The sequence below is a fragment of the Homo sapiens genome, chromosome 9 (genome assembly GCF_000001405.40).
Source record: "Homo sapiens chromosome 9, GRCh38.p14 Primary Assembly".
In the NCBI taxonomy this organism is placed as follows: domain Eukaryota; kingdom Metazoa; phylum Chordata; class Mammalia; order Primates; family Hominidae; genus Homo; species Homo sapiens.
Window position 1 is genome coordinate 638,171 of NC_000009.12, and position 22,536 is coordinate 660,706.

Consider the following 22,536-nt stretch of genomic DNA (forward strand, 5'->3'; position numbering starts at 1 on the left):
GAATAGTTTCTTAGCCCATTTTCTGTGGCTTATGATAGAATTCCTAAAACTGAATGGCATATAAAGAAATTTATTTCTTATAGCTATGGAGGCTGAGAAGTCCAAGATCAGGGGGACATGTGGTAAACGCCTTCTTGCTGATACCAGTAAAGCCTGCTGAGCTGGAGTGTCACTTGAATCATATTCGCCACTTTTGCTTTCTCTTCCTACATGGGTCCTGAGGTTTTGCTCTCATCATCATCTTGCCTTTCAGTAAGGTAACTAACTTGTTACCCTCTGCTATGTCAGAGAGATTGTTTGTTTCAGGATAAACATATAAACAGAGTTTCAGATAAATCTCTTATTTCCTGGCCACTGGGGCTCGAGTTATATTGTTAGCACCAGCTCTGTAAAGTGCCTCAATGTGTTTTTTCAACCAAAGGCAAAATATTTGGCAAAGAATATGTTGGTTCTTTACCTCCAGGTTCTGGGCAAACTTTGAGTTTCCATTCTTTTGAGATAGATGGACTTTGTTGTCTTTCATAAACTTGTTAAATTTGCGATCTGCCCTTGAAGAGGCACTTGGTTCCTTCTAATTCTTTTCTGTAGATTCCTCTGATTCTCCATCAGCGTATGGAAATTTTCTCTTCTATCCCTTCCAGAGAATTATTCTTCTCTCTGCCATTCAATTTGACTGTGTTACTGCCAGGAAGAGACAGATAAAAGGGCATCAGCAATGTCGACAACTTAGGAGTAGTTCATTCCTTTTTCCTATGGCTGAGCAAGTGGATTTGACTGTACTTATTTTTGTGTATTTTAATATGTTCACCTGAGCAAAGTCAGTGATCTAGAAGCTTCATAAAATGAATAGTGCATAACAGAAATCACACCTCAGTGTAAGTCTTACCTTCCTACAGGAGTCCCATAAAAACACTCTTAGGACATGCTTTCCCCCCACACATCTGATTGCTGAACACTTTGTTTCACTAGGCTTCAACAGGTCTCTTCAAAGCTGTCATTTTACTTCAGCTGGGATTACATTCCACCCTATTTCACTTAAATATACACCTTCCCTTTAATTTTCTCTCATTCTTATCATTGGCAGTAATCAGTGTGGCAAGAGTTCACTTTCTTTTCACATGGAGATTTGATCTTTGATTATTTTATTTTTATTTATTTATTATTATTATTTTTGAGACAGAGACTCACTCTATCACCCGGGCTAGAGTGCAGTGGCACGATCTGCAACCTCCTCCTCCCTGGCTCAAGGGATTCTTTTGCCTCAGCCTCCCAAGTAGCTGGGATTACAGGCACACACCATCACACCTGGCTAGTTTTTGTATTCTTAGTAGAGACAGGGTTTCACCATGTTGGCCAGGCTGGTCTTGAACTCCTGGCCTCAAGTCTTCTGCCCACCTCGGCCTCCCAAAGTTCTGGGATTACAGGCACGAGCCACTGCGCCTGGCCTGATCTTAGATGATTTACCAAACAGTGCCACACCCTCTGCCTTCTGTGTGTGTCTCAGGCTGTAAGTAAAGTCTCCGTCTTAGTCCATTCAGGCTGCTGTAACAAAATGCTACAGACTGTGTAATTTATAAGCAGCATAAATTTATTGCTCACAGTTCTGAAGTCTGGGAATTCCAAGATCAAGATGACAGCAGATTCAGTATCTGGTGAGGGCCTGTTCCTCAAGGATAGTGCCTTCTATGTCCTTACATGGCAGATGGGCAAAAGAGCTAACAAGCTTCCTCAAACCCTTTGTAAGGGCACTAATCCCATTTGTGAGGGTTCTACCCTGATGATTTAATCACCTCCCAGAGGACCCATCCTTAATGCCATCCCGTTGAAGGTTGGGTTTCAAAATGTAAATCTTGGGAGACACAAAACATTGAGAACCATAGCAGTCTCTCAGACCTCGTTGTACTCAGCTTCATTTTAGGATAACTCCACATTTGAGTTAAGAAACCAAGAGTTTGTATTCCCAACTCTATGCTTCATGAGGTTAAAGACTCTTGGCTTCTCATTCTCACTGCTCAGGCAGGGGTAGTCCATCTGAATGGAAACTCCTTTTTGGGGGGCACACATCATTTTTATTTTATTTTATATTTCTGAGACAGAGTCTCGCTCTGTCGCCTGGGCTGGAGTGTGTGATCTCGGCTCTCTGCAGCCTCCACCTCCTGGGTTCAGGCGATTCTCCTGCATCAGCCTCCCGATTAGCTGGGATTACAGGTGCATGCCATCACGCCCAGCTAATTTTTTTTTTTTTTATACAGAGTCAGTCTCTGTCTCCCAGACTGGAGTGCAATGGTGTAATCTCGGATTACTGCAACCTCCGCCTCCCAGGTTCAAGTGATTCTTCCACCTCAGCCTCCTGAGTAGCTGGGATTACAGGCGCCTACCATCATGCCCAGCTAATTTTTGTATTTTTGTACAGATGGGGTTTCATTATGTTGGCCAGGCTGGTCTTGAACTCCTGATCTCAGGTGATCCACCTGCCTCGGCCTCCCCAAGTGCTGGGTTTACAGGTGTGAGCCACCACGCCCGGCCTAATTTTTTTTTTTTTTTGAGATGGAGTCTTGCTCTGTTGCCCAGGCTGCAGTACAGTGGTGCAATCTTGGCTCACTGCAAGCTCTGCCTGCCGGGTCCACACCATTCTCCTGCCTTGGCCTCCCGAGTAGCTGGACCTACATGTGCCCGCCACCAGGCCCAGCTAATTTTTTGTATTTTTAGTAGAGACAGGGTTTCACCATGTTAGCCAGGATGGTCTCGATCTCCTGACCTTGTTATCTGCCCGCCTCGGCCTCCCAAAGTCCAGGGATTACAGGCGTGAGCCACCGCGCCTGGCCACCACTTTTAAATGTCTGTGTTGCAGTGAAATTTTAAAAGAGAGAGCTAAATTTTGATGTCAGTTTTTAAATAGATGCTGCCAAGAGCCATGTTGATAGCCCAAACCAATTTTCCATTTATACCAGTGATATACTTCAAGCCTGAAAAATGTAGTCCAGTGTGGGAAGAAGCCCTGTGATGGTGAGAAATGCAGTAAGAAACTGGGTTCTCCCATGGAACTGATAATTAATGCAATCAGATATGAACAGTATGTTTAAGGATAGTCTGGACATGAATGTGTATAATCTGTCTTTATCAGATAAACAAATAAAAGTCTTTTACCTAATCGTCGTTTCCTGAGTTAGAAGAATCCTCCTTATCAGATACCTGCTTTGGTCATTGGAAGGAAAGTAGAACATCCATCTTGGTGGTGATCCTTGTTTCTTAGTACTCTGTATATCCTTTCCAAGAGACAGGTTTCTTTTATGAAATGGCTAAGATCATCTCCACCACCATGAACAACATGCAAATGGAGCTGCTGCACAAAGTTTAGGGAGTTCTAAGCGTTGGGATTCCAAGGCATATTACCCTGTACTGAAGAAACTCGGAACAGAGGCATCCTCAAATCCTAACTGCAAGGAAGCGTAGCCTGTGTCCTTTGTTGATGGAGGAATGATTCAGTGAGAAAGAACACAGTGATTTTTTTCTCTACCTATCTTACATCTTACTCTCTTGCCATTTCTTGTAACACCTTTTCATCCTGTCTTAACCTTCAGCTACCAGCTTACCCTGATCGTAATGACAAGGAAATTCATACATTTTGGTTTTTTAAGGACTACTTTATTAAGGTATAATTCACAAACCATGCAGTCCACCCTTTAAAGTATACGATGCAATGGTTTTTAGTAAATTAACATAATCGTGTAACCATTGGCATAAACAACATTAGAACATTTTCATCACCCCAAAAAAGAAAACCCATACCCATTGGCAATCAAAAGCCGATTTCCTCCCCAACCACCACACACCCCCCAGCACTAGGCAATCATTATTCTACTTTCTGTGTCCATGGGTATATTAAATACTGTGTTGTAACTGGAGATAGGATGCCCATAGTCAGAAAGCTTGAGCTCACATGAACTGTTGGCTTGGATTTCTGTGCGGATTAAACCAGCTTACTTCTGACACGGCAGATGCTGGGCTTTTTAACCTCTTTCCTCATTGTGCTTCCTGACTTGTTACCTCTGTATCATAAAAGCATGAAAGGTCGTAGAATAAATGAGTCTGCAGAAAACTGCGTGGTTAAGTTACCCCATTTGTGTTTTACAAAGATAGCGGAAGGGAATAACCTTTGAGGGTCACATACAAAAAGCCATTTCCTCATCCTCCCTAACCTTAAAAAGTCGACATTATTTTTACAGCAGCTTCTCTAAATTGACTTACACTTGAACAAACTAAAAACTACAAGAAGAGTAGAGCTTAGCTGGCAGGCCTGGTTTTGAACAAGTGTTTGATTTTGCTAATCTTGGTAGTGCATAAGGTCACTTTTGTAAATTTCCTGTAGAAAAATTCTTGGTTCTTGGACACACTCAGCTACTAGAACAGAGAGATGGTTTATATTTTTTCTATGAATTACCAGCTGATAAAATTCCCCTCCTTTGAGTGGGAGAAAAATTCAAGCCAGACAAGAACTTTTGTGGCAGGTAACTCTTACTTGAAATTTATTTGGATTTCTAGAGGCAAATTAATTTCTCTCTCTGTCTTTCACAATAAATAGGTGCCTGTCACCTTTTTTTTTTCTCTATCTAGTGAGCTGCTTCTATAGATGGAAGAAAGTTAGTCCTTCCTTTTGGTATTTTGAGAGTTTTATTTTTAGGCCTCTCCTTGGCTGTCTTTTCTCCTTGTAAAGCCAGTGTCGAAGTAATGGCAATGGTAAGTATGCTTAGCGTTCTAAATTTTTTTAATGCATGTTTATTACTAAGTAATTTATCTCCTTTTCTTCTACTTTATAGCTCCATATTAAATATGGTGGCACCTTTTAATAAAAAAGAGGAAAGCCTATTTGGAAACATATAAAAATAGCACAGGATAGGTCATTTTTCAGATTCTGGTCAGATCACCATTTGGAAAGATCTTATTCTTTAAAGCAAAAGTTTTGAACCAAGGATCTGTTGAAGATGGGGAGTGACTCTCATTCATCTCCATCTTCCTTTGAAATTTCATACAGATTTTTTGGTGTGTGTTTGTGTGTGTCTGTATTTTCTAATGAGAAGATCCATAACTTTCATAAGCATCAAAGCCACTGCCTTTAAATATCTTTTTGATTACTTTTACTGTAGTTATTGTTTTAAGATCTGCTTTTTGCCATTTAAAAACATCTTTCAAATACTAGTTAACTCTTAAATGTTTTTTTGCAGAATAAGATCCTTTTTGCAGTACTTTTTGTTGTTGTTTAATACCTACCCAAAATTTTGGTCCAAGCTCTAGGGGCCTCCTCCCGAAGAATTTGGTTTAAAAGCAAAAGATTTTTAACATAAATAAACCAGAATTTGCTTTTTTTCTTTTTGATTTTTTTTTTTTTTTTTTTTTGGTAGTGATAGGGTCTCTCTGTGTTGCCCAAGCTGGTCTCGAACTCCTGGGCCAATCCTCCTGCATAGGCCTTCCAAAGTGTGAGGATTACCGGTGTGAGCCAATGTGCCTAGCATTGATTTGTGGGGGTTTTTTGTTTTTTTTGGGTTTTTTTTAGAGACAGAGTCTCGCTCTGTTGCCCAGGCTGGAGTGCAGTGGGATGATCTTGGCTCACTGCAGGCTCCGCCTCCTGGGTTCAAACAATTCTCCTGCCTCAGCCTCCTGAGTAGCTGGGATTACAGGTGCCTGCTACTGTGCCCGGCTAATTTTTGTATTTTTGGTAGAGACGGGGTTTCACCATGTTGCCCAGGCTGGTCTCGAACTCCTGACTTCAGTTGAGGCACCCGCCTTGGCCTCCCAAAGTGCTGGGATTACAGGCGTGAGCTGCCACGCCTGGCCTTGATTTGTTTTTGCATGTGAGAAAATGTATGTCCTAGTGTAGTGTGGTGTGTCATTAGAAGCATGATTTGTTCTTACCAATGCAGTGATTACATTGGTTCTTCTACATTCAGTAGAATGCTAATAATGTGGTAATGCTAGTCGCCAGTCTTCTTAATCTCTATAACAGAGGAAGCAGAAGTAGAGCAGATCCTATCCTAGCCTTGTAGGTCTAGAGACCGAACTATAGTGTCTTCTGGGAAAGCACTTAAACAAAACACAGGTTTATAAATTGTTATGGTCACTAATGTTTCAGTCAAGATGGTGACTACCTATGATTTGTGTGTATGTGCTACCCTTTTGAGAAGCATTAATTAGTCCGTTCTCTCACTGCTATAAAGAAATACTGGAGACTGGGCAATTTATAAAGAAAAGGGGTTTAATTGGCTCAGGGTTCCGCAGGCCAGGAAGCATGGTGGCTTCTGGGGAGGCCTCAGGAAACTTAGAATCATGGCAGAAGGCAAAGGGGAAGCAGGCACGTTTTACGTGGCCAGAGCAGGAGGAAGAGAGAGGAGAGAGGTGCTACACGCTTTTAAATAACCAGATCTCACAGTAATTCACTGACTCACTGTCACCAGAACAGCACCCAGGGGATGGTGCTGGCCCATTCATGAGAACTCTGCCCCCATGATCCAATCACCTCCCACTAGGCCCCACCTTCAACACTCGGGATTACTGTTCAACATGAGACTTGATGGGGACACAGATCTAAACCATATCAAGCATTAATATTACTATTAACCTGTGTGAAAAGGAACTGAATTCTGCTGTGACATTTTTTGTTTAAGAATTAGGCCTAGCAGGTGTGGTGGCTCACGCCTGTAATCCCAGCACTTCGGGAGGCCGAGGTGGGCGGATTGCCTGAGCTCAGGAGTTCAAGACCAGCCTGGGCAACATGGTGAAACCCTCTCTCTACTAAAATACAAAAGAATATTAGCCAGGAATGGCGGTGTGCACCTGTAGTCCCAGCTACTCTGGAGGCTCAGGCAGGAGAATTGTTTGAACCTGGGAGGCAGAGGTTGCAGTGAGCGGAGATCACACCACTGCACTCCAGCCTCAGCAACGGGGCAAGACTCCATCTCTACAAAAAAAAAAAAAAAAAAAAGAATTAGGCTTAGGGAGTGCATGGTGGCTCACGTCTGTAATCTCAGCACTTTGGGAAGCTGAGGTGGGCAGATCGCTTAGGGTCAGGAGTTCAAGATCAGCCTGGCCAACATGGCAAAACCCCGTCTATACAAAACTACAAAAATTAGCAAGCCATGGTGGTGGACATCTGTAATCCCAGCTACTGAGAAGTCTGAGGCAGGAGAATTGCTTGAACCTGGGAGGTGGAGGTTGTAGTGATCCAAGATCATACCACTACACTCCAGGCTGTGTGACACAATGAGACTGTGTCTTAAAAAAAAAAAAAAAAAAAAAAGGCCTTAAGATAAAAAACAGTGAAATAAAAGAAGTCATATTTTTAAGAAATGAAATCCCTAATGTTTAAAAATTATTTAATGTATAAAATTATCAATTTTTATACATTAGGGATTTCATTTTTTTAAATATGACTTCAGGCTGGGCGTGGTGGCTCATGCCTGTAATCCCAGCACTTTGTGAGGCCAAGGTGGGCGGATCACCTGAGATCAGGAGTTCGAAACCAGCCTGGCCAACGTGGTGAAACCCCATTTCTACTAAAAATACGGAAATTAGCCGGGTGTGGTGGTGGCATGCACCTGTAATCCTGACCAGCCAGCTGAGATCGTGCCACTGCACTTCAGCTTGGGCGACAGAGCAAGACTCCATCTCAAAAAATGTGTATATTATATATATATGACTTCATAGACACACATTGGTCTATACAACAAAAACAAAGCATTAGGAAATTATCTCATGATTTAGCCACAAAATTAAAAGATTTATTTCAACAAACACTTATTGAATGCTTACCCATTTGACTGGATGATGCGTAGGAATAACAAGAGGTCTGAGGCATAGTAGTAGACCCATGGAGCTGATAGTTTCAGGGCAGGGTAGACATCTAATAAAGTCTTTGTTTCCTTTTGTAAGTTTCTCTAAGTTTGTTTAGGATACCTATTTTGACAGCCATACAGATCTTCAGAAAATAGGGATTATCACCAGACACCACAAGGAAATAGGTGGAAAAATATTTAAAAATAAATTGTAAGCCAAGCATGGTGGCCCATGCCTGTAATCTCAGCATGTGATTTGGGAGGCCAAGGCTAGAGGATCACTTGAGGCCAGGAGTTCAAGACCAGTCTGGGCAACATAGCAAGACCTATATCTACCTAAAAAAAAAATTTAAGAAAATTTAAAATAAGTAAATAAATTGTAGTAAAAATGTAGGTTATGTTTCTTCGTCTGAAAATAAGCTATTCTGAAAAGCTAAGCTTTCCCAATGGTACATGAGTTCTCTCTCTAATTATATCTTCTGTATTCCTCTCTCACTTGAATAATTTTCTTTTGAAAACTTTCTGAAGTTATATGCTTTCAGACTTTGTAAAATAATATGTTGAACATGATTAATCATCTCTCAGTTAGGTTCATTATTTTCAATCATATTATTGTATTGTGCTGTGATAACAATGTCCCTAGAAACTGGACAGTTTATAGAGCAGTTCGCCTGATCATTTTTGTTTTTTAAGTATCTTTTTTTTTTTTTTTAAAGACAGTCTCTCTCTGTCACCCAGGCTGGAGTGCAGTGGCACGATCTCAGCTCACTGCAATCTCCGCCTCCCGGGTTAAAGCAATTCTTGGTCTCAGTCTCCCAAGCAGCTGGGATGGGACTACAGGTGCATGCCACCACGCCTGGCTAATTTTTTTTTGTATTTTTAGTAGAGACAGGGTTTCACCATGTTGGCCAGGCTGCTCTCAAACTCCTGACCTGAAGTAATCCACCCGCCTCAGCCTCCCAAAGTATTGGGATTACCGGCGTGAGCTACTATGCACACCCCTTAAACATCATTGTAAAAATCACTTCCCTTGCTATAGGAATTTGGCTTTGAGTTACTAGGCCTTCCAGAAGCCATCCCCATGACTTTGTTATCTGGCCTAAGCCATAGGTGGGGAGTGGGGAGGGAGACATCCAAAGTTAATTAGAACCAAGTATAAATTTGCCATGGATTTAAGCCTTCTGTATAAGATAAATTCATCCATAGTATTTTTGGATTACTTTATTTACTTGATTATTTATTTACTTATTTGATTATTTCTGTTCTCATTAATTTTCTAATTATGACTAGACAACTAAGTTCTGGGTAAGATATGTCATTATTACGTAATGATGTCTTATTCTTGGCATTATAAATGACTATACTGTGTTGTAGTTTTATTATATTTATGACATATGAGAAATAAATAATAGGAACTTTAAGAAGACTCTATCACTTCATATCTCTTTGGTCTCTTTCTCTGTCTTTAACATTGGTCAGGTTCCAAACTAGTGAAAACTACAGAAACAAGTGCAGTTTTCTAGTATAGTCTTTCATCTTACGAAAATATATTTAATCCCCACTCTTTTTTAAGTTTCACTTTGCCTTAAGGGGAGTGGTCTTAAGAAAACTCTTAGTATAGTTGTGAGTATCCATAGTGTCAAATGAGGGGAAACATTGTAACAATGTTAGGAGCCAAAGTTCTCACCACAATCTCATCAGATGTCCTGAGCTATTTTTTACTTGTTAACTCAGAACAACAAATACTAAAGAAAGTGCCAAACAACCTCAATTCTTCTGGCTCACACTTATATATAGCAGAGATACGAAATAGCCCGCAATCCCAGATCTTCCATGGGTAATTTTGGGAAAGTGTTTTTCATAGAGATGTTGAAGTCCATGGAAATCAGGTAGAACACTAAAGGACCCGGTTGACCCAGTACATTGCAACCCTCTGCTCTCATGTGCACCTCACACACAGCCAGTCTACGGATTAGAGACCACCATTTCTGGGGGTTGTTATCTTTTTTTTTTTTTTTTTTTTGATACAGAGTCTTGCTCTGTCGCCAGGCTGGAGTGGTGCAGTGGTGCAATCTTGGCTCACTGCAACCTCCGCATCCCGGGTTCAAGCAATTCTCCTGCCTCAGCCTCCCGAGTAGCTGGGACCACAGGCACACACCACCACGCCTGGGTAATTTTTATATTTTTAGTAGAGACGGGGTGTCATCATGTTGGTAAGGATGGTCTCAATCTCTTGACCCTGTGATCCGCCTGCCCCAGCCTCCCAAAGTGCTGAGATTACAGGCGTGAGCCACCACGCCTGGCCAGTTCTTTTCCTTTAACTTGTATTAACTGCATAGTAGTTAGTTTCTCTTTCTTCTTTCTTTAATAGGATCATCTCAACATATTTAAAAACTATGCCGTATATGTATAAGATTTGCCACCTCTGGGTCATTAAATGGCATCACAGACATAGAAATGTACCAATTCCTTTTTTATGAAATTTATCCATTCATGCAAAAGAAGTATGATAATTAAAAATAATTTTGAACATTGGGTATCCTAGGCTCTGAGCGCGAGGCTCTCAGAAAATTAAAATGACATCATCATCGTACTTGCAAAGCTTAAAGCCCAGTGGGGAAGAGCAACATGATAGTAACAAAGGTAGAGTGTAATAAGTGCGGTTGCAGAATCGCAGGCCAAGGGGAGCTCACGTCTTTGAGCTTCAATTTCTTTATCTGTTGCGGGGGAGAGTATCTCATGAAGCTGTTTTGAAGCTTATCTAAGACAATGCATGTGAAAACACTGTAAAATTATAAAGCTGCGGACATGTCAGTTGTCATGTTTGGTTTAAAATAGAAGCTGGGAGACTCTTTATTCTGAAACCATGTAGATAATCCAGGGATGAGACTCTAGTTAAAGTGAGGAAAACAATGTACTTGCATGTCAATTGCAGTTCCTGGGAGAATGTTTGTATTATTAGGAGACTCTCATTCCAGAAATCATTTTGTTGGCATTTATACTAAGTGGCGATGACACTGAGAACAGCACAGCTTCATCTGACATCTGACGTTATTGTCAGCCTTTCTTAGTACCCATGGTATGTTTTTACTGTATCTCGTGAATAAGATAATATATTAAGTCTCCTGGCATATAAGGATATATGTAAGATACGTGTTGTATAGTTGGTTTCTAGAGTGTCTTCATAGCAGTCTTCCAGTATTTCTATTTATTGCTATTCCCTCTCCACCTCTGTTTCTTTCCCATTAGTTCTTTACAGGTAGGGAGATTATATGTCCCAGTTTGCCTGTCCTGGTTTATGTCTCTTGTCCCTACATCCCATCTACTTAACATTTTAACACCCTCGAAAGCGTCCCAATTTGGACCTCACCTTATCTGGTCACCCTGGCTCAAAGCATAGAAGAAAATTAAATGAAGAGCCAGCAAATTAGTGAAATTGTACAGATGTGTGATAACTGACTTCAGTCACTGAGCTGAGCTGATTTACAGAGTGTGGATTTGGTCCAGTAATATCTTGGAATGCAGCTTACAGATGTAAGTAAGTAGTGCCTGATTATAGCTACACACTATAGCAGGTTTCCTAATGAGCTGTTAAAACGAAAGCATGTGTTTGTTCACTGTGGCACAGAACAGTAGCTTTGACACTTCAGTAGTTTTCACCATAGCATGGCTTGTTGGGGCTTGAAGACTGGCATTCCTTCTTAAAGGCCCATCAAGGTTTTCATTCACTGTGAGCTATGTGTTAAGCTGGTACTGATCTCGTTTTTGACCATCATTCACCCATGGCAGCCAACCAGGGAGGTGTAAAATGCTTTTGTCCCCCTGCCCACATATGCACCTCCTTTGGTGTGACCCATGGGATGACAGTTGCGATGCAGCTTGAAAGGATGGCTCTACATTGCAGCTTCTCTGCGTCATCCCCGTTGCCCTTTTAGAATGAGAAAAGAGGATTGAAAGGTTCAAAAGCCTAGAGAGAAAATTCTGCAGTCCTGTGTTTTTCTGAGCAGAGGGAAAGGTGCTACTTCGTAAGACTGCTTGCAATCCCCAATATAATAGAATAAAACTGTCCCTACTGCCAGCATTAATATGAAATTTGTATAAAGGTGGAGGGATTACTTTACTGTTTTATTAATATGCAATCCCAATATTTTCATTGCAGGGCAGCTTGCAAATTCATTGCAAATTATGCTGAGTTAAAATCAAATACATAAATCTACCTTTCTCTGTTGGCAGCTGTATTGGAGTTTGGGATTGGCCTCTGTGCTTATTAGAGCCAAAGAATGTATATTATTTAATTCTTGCAAAGTGAAAGTAAAAGATCAGGAAATAAAGACAAATCAGGGGAATGGAACATTTTTAGTGCGATTCCTCTTTTACTCTCCAGCAAGGGAAAGTGGCTTAAAGATCTCTGTTAAAACAGTGCTTCTCACACTTTAATGTGAGACTCTTGTTATGTAGATTCTTACTCCTGGGTCTAGGATGGGGGCCTAAGATTCTGCATTTCTAACTAGCTGTAGAGCATGCTGGTGCTGCTGGACCACAGGCCATGACTTGAGTAGCAGGTTGTCAGGAAGTGTGTGCTTCAGTGGGCTGTGACTCTGCATATCCCTGTTGTGAAATATGCAGATGAGAGTGGCACACACCAGACCCTCAACTGGCAGGAGGAGCTGTGTTTTAGCTAGAGGTTAGGGTGAGAGGGACCACCCAGACTTGTAAAGCTTAAGTATTGTCCCCGGTCTCTTTACCAGTCTTAAGGTATCCCTAACAGAGGCCCAATGTTCCTGCTAATGAAATGAATAAAGAAATGTTGCAGTCCATGGATTTGTAATTCCAGTAACGGCTTATTTTACATCTATTAAAGGCTACAAGGAAAGAAGTGGAGGGAAGGGCTGGAAGACTAAGAAAATAGGAAATGAGAAGAAATGCACAAAGGAGAGTTGCATTTCCTCCTGCTTCTGTCAAAGGAAAAAAAGATGTTATGTGCCTTCTCTTTCCACCTCTAAATAAAGCAACAGGGCCACCACTAACTAGTTTGTGTGACTATATTCTGGCTATTTAACCTCTGCTATTTCACAAAAAGTCCTCATCTGTGAAAGGAGGAATTTGGAATCGGGACAGTTTTCGGAACCCCTTCAATTGTTAAAGCATAGCGACTAAGAATTTTATGGTCATACAACACTAAAAATCATACATATGTCCTTAGGAATGGGGTTTTATTTCTGTAAGAGCACCTCCAAAACAAGTGGTGTGTTAATACATGTGCATTTTATATTTTTCTTTATATTCTTTGTTCTCTTCCTTTTAAGAAAATCTAGTTTGTTTCATTGCTTCAAAATTCCTGAAAAATTTTCTGTCTTTTTATATAATACAGAGTTGGCTGTGTTAATTTCTGCTTCCATCATACTAATTTAGGAAACGTGGCCTAACAGTGGCAGGAATAGCTAGAACTTTCTTCTGTGACTTACTGGCATTTTCCCTAAGCATCTGCATGTGTTGGGTGTATGTGTAAGTACCATGCATTGGATACATCCTCTGTTGAAAGGATAAAGGAATGCTTGTTCGTTCCACAAGTTACCTTGGCTCCAACTCTGTTCCATACTCAGCCTGTTCTCTCAACACAATGATGTCTTCAGTCTTAGGACAGAAGTCTGGAGTTCATTCACATCTCTATTTTGATTAATTGTTTTACACATCAGGCTCCATATAATGTAGTGGATAATGAAATGCTCTAAGTGAGTTAGGGATTTTCAGTTCTTAGACTTGTGGATGAGAGAATTTCAAAAATTATCTACAAATTTACCAACATAGATAATGTTTGTATGATATACAGAGGTTGAGTTTTATAAAATATAAATTGCTCTGAGCCAGAAATGAAAAATAAATGTAGAATCCCATGATAAAAAACTAAAGTTGCTATATTAAAATTAATAGTATACTGGGATTTTTGAAACATTGTTTTGAGGATGTGTTTACTATGTTCAAAGCAATAAATTTAGGAATGGAATCTAGTTTCATTAGCCCTGCTATAACATTTTGGAGAGAATATAAATTAATACCTGCTTTTTGAAGGACAACCTGACATTATCCATTAGAATGTGTAGGCCCTATTTTCTTCATCTCACAGATTCATTTCTTGTAATTTACCCATTTATAATTAATTATTGCAAATATGTGTTTGGAATTATTGGACAGGTACAGAAAGCTATATGTAGAAGTACATTCATCAGAGTGTTTGCAGTGTGGGCCAGGTGCGACGGTTTACTCCTGTAATCCCAGCACTTTGGGAGGCTAAGGCGGGTGGATCATCTGAGGTCAGGAGTTCGAGACCAGCCTGGCCAACATGGTGAAACCCCGTATCTACTAAAAATACAAAAAAATTAGCCAGACATAGTGGTCTGCACCTGTAATCCCAGCTACTCAGGAGGCTGAGGCAAGAGAATCACTTGAATCTGGTAGGCAGAGTTTGCAGTGAGCCGAGATCGTGCCATTGCACTCCAGCCTGGGCGACAAGAGCGAAACTGTGTCTCAAAAGTAAAATAAAGTGTTTGCAGTGTGAAGAAACAATCTAAATATTCAACAATAAAGGAAGGTCAAATGAGACAAAGATGAAAGGGGAATACTATGCAGCCATAAAAGAGAGATGTGGTTGTTATCTTAGGAAGATGACTATAATATGAAGTTAAAAGTTACAAAGGAACATTTGGGAAGAATGTATAGGTACATACATGCTTATAAAACCACAAGAAAGAACTGGGAAGCAATACACCAAAGCGTTGATAGTAGTAGAATTACGGCTGATTTTTTACTTTCTCTGTCATGCATTTCTTTATTGTTGAATATTTAGTACTAGTACATGGAGAGGGAATAGAAAACTTAATTTGGAAGGGATGGGGAAAAAGTAGCCACCCTGGGAGCTGAGTTAGAGGAGAACACAGAGCCCAGGTGTTTCAGCATCTGTTCCGGCGTTGGCGGTGGGAATTCTCTGAATAGTCCTCACTGTGCCAGAGAAGCTTTCTGCGCACAGCTGGGTCCTGTGAGGCAAGACCTGTGTCCTGCTGACTCATACACAGCATCCCATATGGCCTTAACTTTATTTAGCAACGTCAGCTCAAGGAAGCCTTGTGTTCCCTTTGGGCCCAGGATTTAGAAGAGCATAATCATAGAATGTCTGTCAGGCCTGGAAGTGTCATTAGGGCTGTCCTAGTCTGGACATGAAGAGTCTGAGGCCCAGAGCATTTAAGTAACGTTCCCAGAGTCCCAGAGGTAGTTCGAGGCCAACTGGAAATGAAAATGCGGTTCCCAGGCTCGTGGTCTCTCTAGTGCTACTACTTTGCTTGTCTCCAAGCTCTGCTCTGGTGGATGAGTCTCCAGTTCTCACAAGCAGTTTTTAAGGCCAGAGCAAAAGGTTTCCAGGTAAGAGAATTTTTTTTGTCATATAAGAGAAGATTAAATTAATAGGACTTTTGTTCAGATCTGCATTCAGTGAGATACATGGAAATTCAGAGGTTATTGACTTTCCTTGGGTCTGGCCTCTTTTGGATATTTAATAAAGGCTGCAAAACCTTTCCCTTGAACGATGCAAGTTTGCTGAAAACCACAAAACTTTGCATTTGATTTCGGAGGTTTCAAGAGCCCTGTAAAGCCTGTCCCTGGGTTCTGAATGTCCTTTGTCTTGTGCTCCCCTGTTTTCAAGCAGTTCTTTTGCATTTGGAGGTAACAGAACTGTGATCTGGTTTGGTTTTCATACCTTTGTTGCAGATATGTTTTCTTCAAATAAAAAAGAAGGAGAGGATAGCAACTAGGAAGATGAACAAGCCTCATCACATTGGATACTTAGTGTTGTCTTTGTGTTTACAGTTGCTGTTAGATTGTCATTCCAATAAAAGTAAAATTATGTAATACTTTTTAAAGCTCCCATCACACTAGCACAACTGCTTTCATTTTTTGCAGAGTGTGCCACCCTGTTCCTTTCCACATGGATACTTCCTGGTTACAGCCAAAGACTGTTCATTATGCCCTTTCATGCTTCCACATGAAAGACACAAACTGAGGCTGAAATTGAGTGGCTTCTTACCAGAAATTAGGTATTTGAATAAGAGCAGATCGTTTTTACTTAAAAGATGTAAGTTTTGAAAATGACCACATGCAGCAGTTAACACACTGATGACTGGACTTACCTGAAGAGTCTCTGATTCAGTAGCCCGTTGTGGGGCCCAAGCATTTCTAATAAGTCCTCAGGTGATGCTGACATCACTGGTCCACGGCCAGACTTTGAGAAACAGTGGCCCAGAGAATAACAGTCTTAGAAGGCAGGGTGTTTTCCAAATTTTGCTGAAGACAAGAATCAGTTGAGAATGTTTGTTAGAAATGTAAATTTTAACACCATGTCAGACTCACTGAATCAAAATCTCTGGGAGAATCTTGGAATAGTATATTACCAGATCTGGAGGAACTACTATTCTCTTGCTATCAGGTAAGCCCCATAGAGTGTCACTTGTTTGCAAACCACTCACAGGACAATAGAATTTTTTTTTTCAAACACTAACTCAACCAGAAGGGACAATGTAATATATTTACCACTCAATCGTTTCTCATCCATTGTCTGCTTTGACCCTATGAGCCCATGAGCACCTAGCAGCATCCACATTTTTAAATGAATTTTAAGTCACCCTTCTAAGACATAAATATTTTTGTTTCAGGTACCAATATATTGTTTGAAAGAGATACCAGAATACCTGCTTTCTGAGAATTTCCTCAAGTTTTACTGAGTTCCTTTTTAATAAGCATAGTCACAATATGCATTTGTGTGTGTGTGTGTGAGAGAGAGAGAGAGAGAGAGAGAGAGAGAGAGATAAAGGGAGGAAGGAAAAAGAAATGTGGTTTTCTGCCAAGTTCAAGTTCCCTAGTGATGGTGATGCTGCTGATCTCGGAACACGTTTTGAGAACCACTGGAATAGACCAATAACTCTCAAATGTAGCAGTTGGAATCTCCTGGAGGAGCTTTGAAATATACTTCTGCTCAGGTCTCACCCCCAGAGATTAGTTCAATTGGTCTTTGATGAGACCTAGACAGTAATTCTAATAATCATCCAGCCGGGCGTGGTAGCTCACGCCTGTAACCCCAGCACTCTAGGAGGCCAAGGCGAGTGGATCACCTGCGGTCAGGAGCTCGGGACCAGCCTGGCTAACGTGGTGAAACCTCGTCTCTACTAAAAATACAAGAAATTAGTCGGGCATGATGGCACACGCTTGTAATCCCAGCTACTCGGGAGGCTGAGGCAGGAGAATCGCTTGAACCCGGGAGGCAGAGGTTGCGGTGAGTGGAGATCACTCCATTGCACTCCAGCCTGGGAAACAAGAGCAAAATTCTGTCTAAAAAAAAAAAAAAAAAAAAATCCAAGATTGTGAACCATTACTGTAGGTTGCTCCAGATAAAAGGTAATGGGTTAGGAAGCTTAAGACTTGATGAGGAAAAATAAAGGTTAAACCAGTGCTCCTTCCACTTCAGTGTGCATACAAATCACCTGGGGGTCTTGCTGGAATGCAGATTGATTCTGTAGGTCTAGGGTAGGGCCCAAAATGCTGCTTTTTTAAATCAAGTCAGGCAGATGCTGCTAAGATTGCCCAGGGGTCTACACTTTGAGTAGTGAGGTGGTTAGAAAGTGTTGACCTATGTAAGTGCTTATCAACACACAGTTTTTATATATTTTTACGTAGTATAGAACAAATAAAAGCAATGTCATTGAGATTTCAGATACCTTAGAAACAATAAATATTTTGCCATTAATGACTATTTCCCTTCCCTTGATGGCTAAAACGTTTTGTTTTTGCTTCTCCCTACCTGCTTACTCAGAGTTTCAATCAAATGTTTGTAAATTAATTTTGCTTTAGTATGACACATGTAGTAACAGGCCTTTCCCCTTTGTAACTGAGTCCCAGGATTCACGGAGTTTGAGGATCTTGCCTTCTGGCTTCCTCCTTGCCTCAGACCCTGCCCTTTAGGGGTTACTGCCCTAAGAGGCTGAAAGTTTAGTAATGCCCCAGAGCCTCGTTGCAGGAGCTAGTCACTTTTGGCACTTTCTTGCTGTCAGACCGCAGGCTCTGGGAGCCAGTCTTCTTGGGACATGGCTTCATCCTGTGTCTCTGGCTTGAGCCCAACCTTTCAGGCCTGGGTTAGGGGTGAAGCCTTTTATCTGGCAGGTCCCACAGTCTGGCGCCTTTCCCAGCGTGGTGGAGTTGAGACCTTGCTGTCAGAGCCTGTTCAGAAGGAGAGAGGGAGAGACAAGACCTTCGCGTGAGGAGGAAAGAGTTTAAGTCCCGTCTGTGGAATCTGTTTCCCCTGGCTTGTTGAATTTTCTCAGCTGAACATGGCAGAAGTGGTTGATATTTGAATTAGAGGCTATGAAAGTGTCCTTGGGAAATGGGTGGGGCTGAGCCAGTGGTCTTCCCTTTTGCCTCTACCTCATGCTGACCAGGGGACAAGGCTCTGTCTCCTGGGTGTGGCCTGTCATTGGTCAGTCTGTGACCATACTGCTATTCTCCAAGGCATTCCTCAACAGAATGGGATCAGGCTTTTTCAGTCATTTCCCATTTTTAAAGGACATCTCCATGGCAGATGCCCCTACTCCCTCCCGGTGCCTGAATATTTGCCTGTCTAGCGTGGGTAGGTGAACGTCAGCAGAACTCTTGAAGAATCACTAAAGGGATGTGCTTGTCCTAGCAGGAGAGCCTGTGACAATAAAAAAGCAGAGAATGTTCTGAGTCTCCTGTATTAAAAAGGGAAAAGCTTAAGTGAGGTTTATTTCCACTAAAGGATAGCAACATAAGGCAGCTTGACCTTTAGTGTGACTGGAGCACCGTAAATGCTACTTCTACTTTTTTCCTTTTTTTTTATTGTGGTGAAAAACACATAGCATAGATTTGCCCTCTGAATGTTTAAGTGTACACTTCATTATTGTTAACTGTATGCACAATGCCATGACAGATCTCTAGAACTTTTCCATTTCACATGACTAAAATGCTGTGCTCATCAAACAACTCTGTTTCCCCCTGTGCCAGCCGCTGGCACCAACCTTTCTACTTTCTGTTTCTATGACTTTAATTACATGTATGTGTCATAGAAATTTGGCTTTTTGTGATTGGCTTATTTCACTTAGCATAGTGTCTTCAAGTTTCCATTCTATTCATGTTGTAGCATGTGATAGAATTTCCTTTTTTGTAGGCTAGATAATAGTCCATTGTATGCATATACCACATTTTCCTTAGGCATTCATCTGTTAATGGACTTTTAGGTTGCTTCTGCATGTTGGTCATTGTGAATAATTCTGTAGTGAACATGGGGATGCAAATGTCTCTTCGAGTTCCTGTTTTTAGTTCTTTTGGGCATATACCCAGAAGTAGGGTTCTTGAATCTCATGGTAGTTCTATTTCTTATTTTTTTGAGGAACCTCTATACTGTTTTCTGTAGCAGCTGCACCATTTTACAGTTTCACCAACAACTCTCACCAATGTAGGGTTCCAGTTTCTCTACATGCTACCGATGCTTTGTTTTTTTGTTGTTGTTTGTTCTTGTTTTTTTTTAATAGTGGCCATCCTAATGAGTATGAGGTGATACTGTGGTTTTGATTTGGTTCTGCCTTTTTAAACTCCAAATTCAGTCTCTGGTTACAGCTTTTCCCATAACCATTTTCAGGTGAGGTGCGTATGCTGCGTTGGTAACATAAATTTAACATTGTGAGAGCTTTTATCAGGCAGCAAATTGTAAAGCCCCTTCTAGGTCAGACAGTTGACCTCTGTAAAGCTTAAGTTAGGAACTTTTATGTTCTTAATAAAACACAAGAAAATATGGGAAATTTCCATTTGGCATGAGCCTTTCTGTTTTCTTGGTGGTGGTGGTGTGGGGGTGGTATAGGCTCTCCCTAAATTGCCCAGGCTGGAATGCAGTGGCTCTTCACAGGTGCAATCATAGCTCACTACAGCCTCGAACTCCTGTCTCAGCCTCACAAGTACTGGGACTACAGGCATGAACCACCATACCCAGTTCCATTCTGCTTTAAACAGTGGAAAAAATACATGTATTTTTTAAATGGAAGGGTTGGTTATATCTTCAATGTGAAATCCTCTATGTGAAATCTAAATAAACTATTCCTGGAATGTCCAGTGTCCTTTCCCCGTGATGATAAACAAAGCCCAGAGCTGCCTCTCTTTAAAGATAGTAAGAAGCCTATGCATAAACAAAACACTTAAAAATAAGATCATTTATTTTATTTTACTCATCCGCTTAAACCCATCAATGACTTTTAACTTAGAAGAAAACCTAGTCTTCCTACTATGACCAACAGGACTAAGCAAATCTCATAACCTAGCCTCTGCTTACCTCTCACTTCAGCCCAACCTACTCTTTCCCTCTCTTAAAAACTCAGTAGCTGAAATATATGGAGCTCTTTCTGGCCCCGAGCCTCCAGACCTTTTAAAGAAAAAAAAAGATTGTAATTTTGATGAAGACCGCATTGTCAATTTTTATTTCTATGGCTCTTACTTTTGGTATTATGTCTAGACCTCTCTAAGCCCTAGGTCTTAAAGATCTTCTAGGTTTTCTTAAGTTTTATAGTTTTTTTTTTAATTTTAGATTTAAGATTCATTTGGAATTAACTTTTGTATAAGACAGACGGTTAAGAAGATTCATTATTTTGACTATAGATACCAGATTGCTGTAGCACTGTTTGTTGAAAAGACTTTCCTTCCTTTTCTGAAAGAGTTTTTCTTTTCTGAAATGCCTTTGTCAAAAATCGCATAGGCACATCTGTGTGGGTCTATTTCTGGGCTGTATGCTGTTCCTGGGACCATTTTTACCTTCCACCTTTCCCCTAGTTAACTCCTACTTATCCTTCAGGTCTTAGTTTCAATGTTGTTTCCGTGGAAAGACCCTTAAGGACCACCCATTCCTATACATCTGCATACCCTCAACTTCAGTCCTAAGGAAGGGTACCTCTGTTATTCTCACTCAACACCTGTTTTTTTCTCCTTCGTAGCATTTAGCATAATACGTTTATAACTTTTTTTGTTTGTGCACATATAGTTCGTGCCTATAAGCCTCAAAAAGGCAAGAACTGAGTTTATTTTGTTCACCACTGTAGTGCCCAGCACTGTGCCTATTACATGCTGAGTTCTCAGTCAATATTTTTGAATAAATGAGTGAAACAAAGTTAGGCTTCCTGGGGGATGTTTTCTAAATCCCTAGGTATCATTTTCTTAAAATTAGAGGATATTCTTGGCTCTTGGAGCCTTAGGGCATAATTTTTTTCCCAGTTAACCCATCTTTGAAGATAGGGATTTTGAGAACTTTTGGCCTACCTCAGGGTCACCTAGCGGGTTATCAAAATGCAGATTGCAGGGCCCCAAACCCAGAGTTCCTGCTTCAGTAGGTCTGGGATGGGCCCCAAAATTTGGATTTCTAATAAGTTCCCAGAAAATAATGCTGATGCTGCTGTTCTGGGAACCCACTTTGAGAACTGTATTAGTCTGTTCTTGTACTGCTATGAAGAACTACCTGAGACTGGGTAATTTATAAAGAAAAAAGGCTTAATCGACTCACAGTTCCACAGGCTGTAAAGAAGCATGGCTGGGAAGCGTCAGGAAACTTACAGTCATGGTGGATGGCGAAGGGGAAGGTGGCACGTCCTATGTGGTGGGAGCAGGAGAAAAAGAGGGAAGAAGGTAATGCTATGCACTTTCAAACAACCAGTTCTCGGGGGAAGTCCGCCCCCATGATCTAATCACTTCCCACCAGGCCCCTCTTCCAGCACGGAGGATTATAACTCATAAGATTTGGGTGGGGACACAAATCCAAACCGTATCAAGCACTAGTGTTTTAACGTTAAGAATCTGAAGAGGCCCGAGTCACTGAGCCGCCACTGCCAAGGACTCATCTCCCCCTTCTCCCGCCACCGCCCGCTTTTGCAGCCATTTCCACTGAGGAAAAACAATCGTATGTCCACAGTCCAGAACCTCCACTCTTTCCACCCCTTTGCTGATACAAGTAAGGGTGATACCTGTCCTGCTGGCACTGAGGATTATATCCATATAAGAATTCATCCAACAGAGAAATGGCAGGAAGACCCTTACTACTGTCCAAGGGACTGCTGATGATTATGATAAAAAGAAACCAATGAAGGCATTTAAAAAGAAATTTGCCTGCAATGATACTGTAATTGAGCATCCAGAATATGGAGGTCATTCAGCTACAGGGTGACCAGCACAAGAACATGTGCCAGTTCCTCTTAGAGATTGGAATGGCTAAGGACAACCAGCTAAATGTTCATGGGTTTTAACTGCTGTGGCTCGCTGAAGCTTGAATGAGGTTTTCCTTGCAATGAGTAGAATTTCCTTTCTGTCCCTTGTCACAAGTTTAAAAACCTCACAGCTTTGTATAATGTAACCATTTGTGGTCTGCTTTTAACTTGACCTAGTGTAATTCCTTCATGCAGTAAACTTGAAAGAGCCATGCTGTCTAGTCTTGAAGTCCCTCATTTAAACAGAGGTCAAGCAGTAGGCGCCTGGCAGTGTCAAGTCTGAAACAAAGCAATACTGTCATGTTTCAGCCACACCTAGACCCCTAAGATCATAGACAACTACGTCTGGCCAGAAGCTCCTCCGCTCTCCCTCTGCAGAGTTCCCTGCCCTAAGAGACTGTCACCACCCGAACAATCCT

The 22,536-nt window shown here is 41.2% G+C and overlaps 1 protein-coding gene and 1 pseudogene across 41 annotated transcripts in view; both read left to right on the top strand.

Annotated features, from left to right (window-relative positions):
- The window catches only part of KANK1 (KN motif and ankyrin repeat domains 1), a 275,809-nt gene that overhangs the window by 167,876 nt on the left and 85,397 nt on the right, over window positions 1-22,536 (top strand). For 2 of the 41 annotated variants that reach the window (XM_024447467.2, XM_047423063.1), the window contains exon 1: window positions 15,092-15,239. The exons of the other annotated variants lie outside the window; for them this stretch is intronic. The gene's annotated coding sequence lies outside the window, so the exon portion shown is untranslated. Of the gene's footprint in view, window positions 1-15,091; window positions 15,240-22,536 lie in introns of those variants that run through there. 41 annotated transcript variants of the gene reach the window in all.
- On the top strand, window positions 21,719-22,351 carry EIF1P1 (eukaryotic translation initiation factor 1 pseudogene 1; annotated as a pseudogene).